The sequence below is a fragment of the Homo sapiens genome, chromosome 2 (assembly GCF_000001405.40).
Source record: "Homo sapiens chromosome 2, GRCh38.p14 Primary Assembly".
NCBI lineage: Eukaryota > Metazoa > Chordata > Mammalia > Primates > Hominidae > Homo > Homo sapiens.
The window spans coordinates 220,487,390-220,499,190 of record NC_000002.12 but is presented as its reverse complement, the minus strand read 5'-3'; the positions used below and the strand labels follow the sequence as shown (position 1 = coordinate 220,499,190).

General features: G+C 38.6%; 1 long non-coding RNA gene across 1 annotated transcript in view; it reads right to left on the bottom strand.

The window, feature by feature from the left end:
- Nucleotides 1–3,224: 3,224 nt before the first annotated feature.
- Nucleotides 3,225–11,801, bottom strand: part of LOC105373893 (uncharacterized) — a 428,255-nt gene continuing 419,678 nt past the window's right edge. The window contains exon 5 of the long non-coding RNA XR_001739889.2: nucleotides 3,225–6,046. This is a non-coding gene — a long non-coding RNA (uncharacterized LOC105373893). The remainder of the gene's footprint in view (nucleotides 6,047–11,801) is intronic.

The following is an 11,801-nucleotide window of genomic DNA, read 5'->3' as shown; positions in this document are numbered from 1 at the left end:
ATTGATCTGGCTTATGTGTTTGTTTTTTTCTCAAGGGAAAGATTGAATCATCTAAGATGTAGAGGCATAACTTGATTGGAAACTCAAAATGTAGTTTTTATCTGATTCAAAAATGTAGATAAAATAGGATGTCTCTTTACCTTCTTTCTTTTTGTGAACAGGTTTCAGATCAAAGGTCAATGAGCTGCTAAACATGGCAAATATGCATCTATTTCCTCTCCCTCTCCAAACTGTACAAAACTGACATAAACTCTCAGAGTAAAATCTCCAGTGGGAAATGAGAATGATGTGTTTAAGCATTTTAAACATTTTGTTGATGGGCATATGATAGAGATGCTGAAGGTCTAAAAGTACACAGAAAATAAGGCAAAAAAATTAAAAAGTCATTTTTAACTCTAAGAAAAAAATTAAGAGGGTTAATTAAGAAAAAAATGGTATCTTTCTAGGTTATGACCTGGGTTAGCAGAGCATTATTTATAGCATCCAAAATGAAGAAAGCAAAGATGATGGATTTAAGCAAAAGAGAATGTGATATAACAAGAGTGGAAAAGAGATTGGAGAGGAAGTATAATGAAGAGTTGAGGGAGATATAAGTCTCCAATCTTCCTCCACCATAGTGGGAAACCAATGTCCAAAAAAGGGAGCAGCTTTCTAATCAGGCTTTCATTTCCATTCCTTTCTAGAAACTAAGACCACAATTGCCTTCCACAGAGCCAAATCCAGTGGTCAATGCCAGTTTCATCTTATGTGGCCCAATGTAACGTCTGCACATTTTGCCATGCCTCTTTCTTAGCTGGCTTTCCACCTACATCATTATCTATTTATTCATTGTGTCTCCTTTGCTGGTTTTTCCTCATTCCAGGCTCTGTACCCAGCACAACCACTTCATGAACTCCACACTCTTATGTCTCTTTGACCTCCTCAGTCAGGTGCCTGCAGCAAGGTGAACATATCATCTGAACAGGGTTAGTGTTCAGGGTGAAAGGAAGATACTGATAATCAATACAATATTGATAATTTTTCATGACAACAAAGTAAACTAAGACTTTCCTAGGCCAACCAAGCTGTGAGTCACCCTTTCCAAGAGACATTTCAAAATTAACTAGCATGCCCAACTCTCATGTCTCTCTCAAACTTGCTTTTCCTAAACTCTTACTTGCCTTTGTTAGTGGAAATCCCATTCTTCCAGTTCCTCAGGCCAAGAAGCTTGGAGTCACCCCTGTCTTCCTTCCTGCTAAGGTACTAGCATTCACTCTATCGGCTACTCCTTCCAGCTTCTACCTTCAAAATATGTTCTAAGTCCCCCCATTTTCCACCCTCTCCTTGATCAGAGCAAACATTAACTCTTGGCTGGGCTGCAGAAGCATCCTTCCTGGTTCTTTCAATCCTGCCCCCCAATCCCACCTGTTCTGATTCCAGGAAGCAGAGAGTTTCTTACTAAATCTAAGTCCTATCTTAGGATCTTGTCTCTTCCCTACTTGAAACCCTCAGAGGCTCACTCAGAGTGAAAGCTTGAGGCCTTGACAGGTGCAAGGTCTTATAAAATCTGTCCCTGTGTACACCTCACGTGTCCTGTCTGGCCACATTGTCATCTAGGCACCCCTGCTCACTCTACCCCAGCCTGTGATCCTCCTGGCTGTTCTTCATGCAACATATCCTACACATAAGGACACTGCATTTTGCGTTTTCTCTACCTGCAGTCTTCACCCTTAGATATTGTGATGGTTAATATTGAGTGTCAACTTGATTGGATTGAAGGATGCAAAGTGTTGTTCCTGGGTGTTTCTGTGAGGGTGTTGCCAAAGGAAATTACCATTTGAGTCAGTGGACTGGGAGAGGCAGACCCACCCTCATTCTGGGTGGGCACAATCTAATCAGCTGTCAGTGAGGCTAGAATAAAGCAGGCAGAAGAACATGGAAACACTAGACTGACTCAGTCTTCTGGCCTCCATCTTTCTCCCGTGCTGGATGCTTCCTGCCCTCAAACATCAGACTCCAAGTTCTTCAGCTTTTGGACTCTTGGACCTATACCAGTGGTTTGCCATGGCTCTCGGGCCTTTGGCCACAGACTGAAGGCTGCACTATTGGCTTCCCTATGTTTGAGATTTTGGGACTTGGAATGGCTTCCTTGCTCCTCAGCTTGCAGTCGGCCTATTGTGGGAACTTCACCTTGTGATCGTATGAGTCAATACTCCTTAATCAACTCCCTTTCATATATACATCTATTCTATTAGTCCTGTCCCTCTAGAGAACACTAATACAGATATGTTTACAAGTCACTCTCTCCGTTTTCTGGTATTTTTTTCAAATTCAAACATTACATTCTTCTTTTAACCTCCCTTCTCTACTGTGTTGAAAATTGTCCACCTCACTCTAACATTCCCTGTCCCTCGTGCCTGTTTTGCTCTTCACATATAATATATGGTAGCATTACCATATATTATATATTTTGCTCACTGTGCTCCTCCCACAATGAGGATGTCAGCTCCATGGGGACAGTGACTTGACAATTTGATTCACTGCTGGGAGCCTGCACCTAGAGCTGAGCCTCATTAAATATTTGTTGAAGGAATGAAATAGGAATGTAAGCATGTTATTTAAAATATGAAGGTAAATCATCGAGGACACAGCTAGAAGAATTGAAGGAGGTTGCTACTGAGGAGGCAACACTAGGCTGGGGCAGGGGATGGCTATTTTTATCATAAGCATTTTAGTACTAGCTGATTCAAAAACACAATTTTTCATTTCATTTCTTTAAAGTAAATTAATCTCATGAGCACAGGTGGATTAAGTCCCTCACAGCCCCAAACTCCTGGACTTTGTGTCAGTGACGCCAAGACGTTATCTTCAAATACTCACACTGTCCTGGAGTCACCAAGGCCACAGTCCACACCCCTCATGCTGGCGAAGGTGACAACAAGATGTGCCTTCCTTCACCTTGCCCACCCACCTCGGTCCACATCACCAACAAAGCTCTCTGGACCTCAACTACCACTGTAGCTGTTCAGAGCAACCAGGTAAAAGCCTCCAAGGTTCACACTGAGGAGAGATGAGGAGAGAGGCACGAAGATTCTTGGGGAAGATACTTTTTTTCAAAATGTATGTTAAAGAAGCAGAGAAAAGATTCATTGTGTTATTCACAAAATGCTCATCTGGTGACTGGGAAATACCCTTTTGTTGAAAATATCTGATCTAAGGAATAAAGAAAATGTTATCTGTGCAGAGACATGATTTCTGCTATGAGAAAATTAATTTGAATGTTAAAATAATCACTTCTCTTTGTCATTGTTGATGATAAGGAGAAGAGGTAAGTGTAATAATGGTCTTGGTGCCACCTCAGTGTACAGCTTTTTTTTTTTTTTTTGCAACTAACTCCTGGCATAACTAATAGCAGTTCTCTAAAATAGATTTCACAGGAGACCAGGCATTTAATTTTCTCCCCACCCTTTTGTTAACTCCGACTCTTCCCCTCAGGCTATTTGGTTAGCTGTAGAATTAGGGAAAGCCAGGGTTGAGATGTCCCCTTGAAGAAAACTGACAGAGCTAGGGTTGGGAATAATGAAAATCAAACTTGGCAAAAATGTCTTTTCAGTATATTGAAAAGAGGATTGAATCCACCACGGATCAAGAAATCCCCTCATCAAATCCAATCTTGATTTTTACCTATGAACTGATTAGTCCCACCTGTCACTCAGCCATTTTATCTCCCAGGCTCAGTGTATGAGCAATTTTGCTGTGGTTTGTCAATTTGGTGTCAGTCCACCGAGACCAGAATATTGTTCAGGGTGGTAAGAATCAAAAAGAGAGTTACTTAAATGCATTTTATATTGCCATAAGCAGATATTTAAATCATGTTTGTAAAGCCTCAACTTTTTGAAGAAATTACAGATTACAGCAAAAATGCAAAGATAATTATGAAGTCCCAGTGATGCCACTGAATACAATTTTATTTTTATAATTTTTATAGACCTCAAAGAAGGAGAAGTTTGATTTGAAAATATAGGTAACTACAAGAGTTCAGGGCCACAATATCCATACATCTTTGTAGCCTTTAAGTATCCTGCAAGTGAAACAAATTTGGAAAGACACTGCATGAGCAAATAAATCACTTTAGAAAAAAAAATAATGATTTTCTGTTTTTCATTAGCATTGTGCCTTAAAATTGTTATTTCACATCTCACATTTTATCATAATATTTTTCTCTTGTTTGTTCTGCTGATAATGATTATCTTGATTTATGAACACAGCTAGAGAAGTTGAATAAGCCAAATACCTTTCCATATTAAAGACACTAAGTAGGTATAAACCACTGGGTGAGGAAAACAGATTTTCCCAACCGAAGCACTGATTACAGTCTTGGTTTCAGAAAACAGTAAGCAATATAATGACCTCCCAGTTATCCTCTGCTGATGAGATATAATCAACATTTTCCTTTTTTTTTTTGTCTCCAGCAGAGCATTTATAAATGGTCACCCTATTTAAAGTAAGTTATTATAGAATGAGAAATAATTATAGAACATTAGGAGAGAAAGTTATACCCATAACATTAAAGTTTGTTTTCCTTTACAACACATAGGGCTATCTCAAGCTCAATCTCTTACTTATATTTTTAACATACAGTTCACACTTTACACATGAATGTCTATGTAACAGATCCACTAATTCTATTTGTAAATGCAATAGAAAGGAGTCAGCCGAAAATATTATCACTTGGCATTAACTTATTTAACTGGATGTCCAGGCTTGAATTCAGAAAAGCATATTCTATTGGCATAATTCTCCTCCGCGGAAATTTCATTGAGAGGAAAAGATACATCTTATTTTGAACTTAAGGACTAGTAAAATGATTCAACATTAATCACCAACATTAAGTGGTTACTTGATGCCAAGCACCCTGCATATATCCCATTAAATATATGCTAAACCTTGCTGTAGCCCCATTTCTCAGATGAGAAGCTTGGGTAAAAAATAGGAATACTCTGGCTACAACTAAACTAATTTGACTGACCCAAGTATATTTTATTTTCCTTTACCTAAAAAGCAGTGAAAACGCGATGCTGTCGGGATCTGGGGCAGTGGCTCAATGACATCGTCTGAGAATCTGTTGTCTTTCTGTCTCGGAATCCTCAGCATGTTGGAATATTGTGAAAGGATTGTCTGCAAGATGATGGTTGCAGGACCTGGCACCACATTTTCTGTTTGTATCAGTCAAAGCTGGTCAGGAAAATAGAAAATTTTCTAGGCATTTTAAACAGAAGAAGGATTTTACTGGAATTGAGTGCTTACGGAATTGTTGGCAGGGAGGTCTGGAAGAATGGAGGTCTGTGCAGATTACTGCTGGAGTGTTCAATACCTCACTCATGACCTAATAAGAGGAACCACTTAATTATTTCCAACAAAAGGAAGATGTTGCCCTCAAAGCATCTGGGTCTTCTGGCTCCTGGTCTGGGTCCTCTGGCTCCTGGTCTTTCATCTTGTTAATCTGTCTTTCTCTGTTCCTCGGAGCTACTCCATCAGTCAAAAGGATTTTCTACAAAGTCCTTTTAATTTTCTAAGAGAGTGTTAAGAAATAAGGAGATGTTATCTGCCTAGGTTTCTCAGCCCTCTGCTTGTGAGGTTTCCTTCTTTTTGTTTCAGTAGTTCTCCCTTTCCCTCGATGAGGAGGGGCAGAAAGAGAGACCTGTCACGTTCTAGGGCTCGCTGCTTCCTTGGAACACAGCGGAAATGGACTCTCTCTTTTATTTCAGGGCAGATTGGCAGTGATGACATCCAAGAACAGCTATCCTTTTCTCAATTTGGATCCTGAGAGTGGGGTGTTCTTTCTTCTTCAACAGAAATATTCGATGCAGCCAGCAAGCGTAATTTATCATGACATAGAGCAAAATAGAAACATTCTTGCTGAACACGCCCGGCCTTTATCTCCTCCTCTTATTGATACATACAGGGTATCCCTGGAGAATCAAAGCCAATCTTGGTGGCACATGCTCCACTGGTAGCAGTTTTATCAAGCTCATATTTTTTTCGCAGATGAAGGAATGATGACCACCTGACAAAAGGACAGCAGAAGCAGAGGTTTCCAAGGATTTCCTAGCAAACTCTTAAAACAGTGACTGACTCTGTGACTTTGGACAAGTTACTTAACATCCTTGAAGGTCCACCTACTCTAAAAATAATGGAAATATTTCCAAGCACACAGTCACTGTGAGGGCTAAATCAGGCATTTAGGAGGAGGGGTAAAGCACAGATGACAGTATTTGTATCACCTGAAGCTCTTACTCCAAGTCACAGGCAGCTTTTACTTCCCCAGGTGACACTCTTGTTTGGACTCTTGTGTAAAGGTCATTCCTTGGGAAAACAGGGCATAAATCCACGTGATTCAATGATTGTAACCTACATCTATGTAGCTTCTTTTCAAATAAAGAAACCAACCTCCAGTAACCTCACTTTTATATTTCACTGAAGTCACATTACATATCAATATTATATAAGAAAATGCAGCTACGTATGCTTGCTCCTTTTTGTACCTTAAAGGAATCTAAAGTTTCATTTTGCTATGGTGTTCTTTTATTTATTAAATATTTTTATAAGCATTACTTGGCAGTTGTATCCATACACCCAGACATAAAAAAGTATGCTGTATTTTATAGCCAAGTTAACAGTATCTTTTGACTATTTTTGATGTTTGCCCCATGCCCCAAGAACTGAATTGAAAACCTAACTCCTAATACAGATGATACTCGGCTAAATAATTGATATTCATGTGAGTGGGCTCTGAGTCCAATGGGTTGGAGTCCAAGCTCCACACCACATTGTATATTAGTTGAATTATTTAAGCTCTCTGAGCCACAGTTCCAATATCTATATGAATGATTAAAACAACGTCTGGTAATTTGTAAACACTCAATAAATATTAGCTGCTATAATATTATTATTGTTACCTTGTTATTCCTCACTGATACCTAGCAATACTTACATTACCCTAAATAGGCTCTTGGATTCTCTAAATATGTTTCTCAATAAGCATGCAGCTTTTCTGTTCCAGTTTATTATTGGTAGCTTTTTTTCCCCCTAAAGTTCTTTAAGCATGAGAAATATTAAATTCGAAAGAACTAGTTTTTTAGGACTCTGGCCTGGACATTGAGTTGGAAGACATTATTGTCACTGAAGAAGAGAATAACAAAGAGGAAAGGCTTCCTTGTGTCCTCATTTTCACTTTGATGTGCCACAAATAAAGAATAAGCTGACACTCCTAAAATATGACGACACCATATTGTTGTTACTCCGTATCCTGGCACCTCAGTTCCCCTGCATGCTGCACAGGCTGCTGAAGCCTTTGAAGTTAGAAAACACTACTGCCTGATCGCCAGCGCTCATAATGAAGACACAGTATGGTAAATCAAAAGAGACATGTCACCTCATGTCTACACTCCCTTCCCAACAGGGAGAGGCAGGAAGGAGGAAGGAGAGGAAGAGGAGGAGGGGGAAAGCAAGCTCAAAATTGTGATTATAAATCAACTGGTCCTGCCTCTCAGGAGTAAAAGACCAGCAACTTTTATATTACAACTCAATCCCATCTTGCGTCTTCAAATCAATTTCTCTTTCTTTTTTAATGTTTTATCATCTTTAAATTTTTTTAATAAATAATTTTTCTTCTAAAAAAGAAAGAGGAATGTCATTTCTTTAAAGAAAAAAAAGATGTGTCATTTGTCTTCTTCTGGGGGAAATAGATGCATTTTTTAAATTCATTTTTCTTTGTCATAAGCAATTGTTGTGTCATAAATTTAAAACAGGTTGTGCATTTGAGGTTCCATTCAAATCTGAGCAGGGGACATGTGGGATATGAAGGTTTATTAGTATAAATGGATAAATAATGCATGTTGAGCCTCAGAAACCTTGTGTTCCAGCTAGTTGACTCCAAAAACATGTCATAATATATTTTTTAAAATTCAACTAGGCAATATCGTCACAAAGATAAATTGATCTAAACTCTAATTGGAAAGGCACAGAAAACATATTGCTGTGTTCATTTCTTTACACTAAATAATCTGAGTCTATGAACTCAACTGTGATTTATTTGTAAGTATATCATAATCATCAAAATGGATACCAGACTTTTTGGAAACTCACTCTTAGATGTGTTCAGAATCAAAACCTGTTAGTCCATAGCACATTGTCTTGAGTAATACTCTGCCATTCTCCTTCTGGACTCTGACATTTCTCTTTTTACTGCAATATTATTTAAATGGAAGGATTCACCACAAATTGCATAGTGTTGCAAAAATACTTAGAGTGATCTTTAAAGTCAAAGGAAAATCCTCACTTGACAAATGACAGTAAATTCCGCTTCTTGTTTTCAAAAGAAAATTTTCAATTTGTCAAGATAACAATTTTCAAATTTCAGATTACTTGGATTATAGGACTATTGATGAATTGTCAAAATCATAGGAAGAAGTATTTTTAAAATAAATATTGAGCATTCATTGGGTGAGATTACAAAGAACCCAATTGTTTTCATGATTTCTTTGTGCAAAGCTGGGATTAGCAAAAAGCAATTCCTAGAAGACAAAACTTTGAATCATTTACAGTCCTGAGATGCCATTTTAAGCAACGAAAAAAAGCAATAGTTAGGTCTGGGTGGGATGGGAAAGAGAAAAGGGAGGCAATATAGTTACTAAGCTCCCAGGAGTCAAGTGTATGCAGACAAAAGCTGCCGTGTAACATGTGGTCTTACTAGTTTGTGTGTCATGTAATACTTGACTGTGTTTTAATCATGAAAGGGAGATGACTGAAGAATTCCAGACCTTAAATAGATTCCAGACCTTCATTGTCTATACTTCTTTATATTTGGTAAAGGAAGGAATGTTAGATGTAGCTCTAGGGACATCTTAGCCTAGTGTCAGACAGTAGTAGTAGGTATGGGCCTCCCACCAAATGAGGTTACCAGAGTAATCTGAAGACTGGGCCAAGTACAGCAGCTATGTTTATCGTTACTGCTGCTACTGTGTTTCACCTAACATTGCTCCACCCTCTTATAGCTTACCATTATACATATTTATGCATATGCAACCTCATTAGACCTTCCCAGAAGTCTACCAAATGTGGTGGTATTATCAACACATTATGAGCGATCTGAGGACAAAAAGGTCAATGATTGGGCCCAAGATGACATAGGCACCAGCAGCGGACCCTGAAACAGATCCCAGTCCCTTTGATATTCAATCTCGTATTTTCAGATAAGCTGCATCACCTTTGAAAATGCATTACTGATGAGACAAACTGTGAGGGGAGACACTCGGTTTGATGAAAGGAATATGGAGAAGCTGGAGAAATCCAGGAGAGAAAATTGTACAATCCATTTAATAACCACTTACATAGCCCGTGGTATATTTTAGGCAGTCTTAAATATGTTATAAATATTGACTCAGCAATGCACATATCAATCTTATAAGGCAAGCACTATAGCCTCATTTTAAAGATGCCAAAACTAAAACCCGAGGATGTTAAATAACCTTCCCAAGAACATGGCAAGCTGGCTTGAACCCATGCTATTAATTGGAGGGGTTTGCTGCCTCTTGTGTAATGGCTTGGTTGTTGGAAGGGTTAAATAAGGTGATATAGGTCAACTGTTTATTATAGACCTTGGAAAAACGATGTTTAAAAGAAGTGAAGTCCATCATTAGTGATGTGAAGAAGACAGATGACAGACTTATCTAGTTCAAGTGAAGAATATATACTATGGTGCTACACAAAAGGATGGAAGTTGAACAAAGTGGAATGAGAGTGGTTAAAGAGCATCCTTCACACAAGAAGTTTTCTGGATGGGTTAGCCTCAGTCAGGGTCCTTTCTACACAGATTTTGACCATCTGTTGAGCTTGGCACAGTTCATACAAGATCAGATTGCCTCAACATTTTTTTCCTCTTAGTTTCCAGTTCATCCTTACTTTAACCCAAATCTAGAACTAGTTTGCTGAGTGTCCTGAAATAATTCTACAACTCATGCAATACCAAGTTTTCAGACCCTCAAGATACAAAGATTAAGAGACACCTGCTTCACCCTTCAAGCAACAGAGTTCCTATAAAGTTATTACAGACACATAAACCAGTAATAACCGCCATTACACTAAGGGCTAAAATAAAAGTTTGCCTAAGGACCAGAGGGAACACATAAGAGGAATGTTGCTTTTGCATAAGACAGATTTCCTCAAGGAACTGGACTTAATAGGGCTTGAAAGGGAAAGAAGATAAGAAGGGAAACGAGAGTGCAGAAGATAGTCCGAGCCAATCACACAGGCCTGTGAATTATGGTGTGCTTAGGGAAACACAGATCACTTGTTATTGTTAGAAAATAAGTTTAGGGAGGGGGCAAGAAGAAACGGAAAAGGAAGCTAGGTAGGTGCCCTATCAGGAGGCTGTGTCCACCATGTGAAGCCACACAGGAGAGGTTTAGAAAGAGGTAAAGAGATGAGATCTGTATTTCAGAAAAATACAAAAAATATAACATTCCTGAAAGCACAGTTGACAAATTCATGCAGGAATAAATTAGATGCGGGAGTCTATTTCTATCTGAGAAGTGTTAAGAGTTTGGCCTAAGATAGTTCAGTTATTAGGGAAGCAGAGAAACAAAAAATCGGTTTGTAAGTTATACAGGAAGACAAAAGGAATATTGGAGCTGGCAAAGACTCTCAGATTATTGGCATGGTGACTTTGTTAGTGGGGTCACTGATGCAGATAGCGAATACAGATGGGAGAGGATTGGTGATGAAGGAGATGTGATAATAAGACTTCTGGACAGATTGAGTTTAACGTGATTGTGAAGTATTCAAATAGAGATGTCTAGTAGGCAGTGGAAAATACAAGCAAGTAATAGGTATTCAAAATATGTTTACCTGAGTGCACTGATCTCTCCTGAGATGTTAGTTGTTTGGGATATATCCACTCTACTGGAATCCGCAGTATCTGGGTGATGCTTTTCACCCCACACCTCTGTGCCTCTGAATGTCACCAAATTTATCACCAAAGTACCACCCATTGTTTTCCCTCTTAAGGTATCTAGTTGTTTGCCCTGTGTTTACTCTTCCCACTCCCAATCCCATTTAAGGATCAACTGTAATTTCCTATCTCAATATATCAGTGGTTCTTTCCAGACAAGCAACAGCACCAGCACCTAGAAACTTGCTACAAATACAAACTCTTGGTCCTCATCCCATACCTACTGAATCAGAAATGCTGGGGGTAGGATTCCACAACTTACATTTTCATAAGTCCTTCAGGTGACTCTAATGCTTGCTCACTGCCATAGAACATCCTTTCTATAACCTAAAAAGTTTAGATTGCTCTAGCCTCAAATTATTCTTGCTCAAATAAGTCATCCACTCTTCTGGGGGGGAACAATTACTGTTCTAAAATACACATATGTTAGGGCTACTCTCCAACCACATTTAATTTTTAAATACTGATTCTTTTTCTCATAGGCTGAGCTGATGTGAATGACATTTATACATTATTTTGTTTCTAAGCTGTTTTAGGTACTTTCCATGGATCAACTTCAACAAACAAATTGGGAAAAAGACTAGAATGGACAGAAGTGTGTGAGAGGGGAGAAAAAAGAAAGGGAATGAGAGAAGAAAGTCAAGAAAAAAGAAAAAAGAGAAGTAGTTAGGAGACTGATAGGAATATGAAAAGCTAAGAGGAATTACGTAGATGAAGAAGTAGAAAAGACAGAAGAGAGAAATAAATTAACGTATGTAGACAATGATTGCAGATTCTCTAGTTGGGATCTCTTGTCTCTTGCTAAGCACCT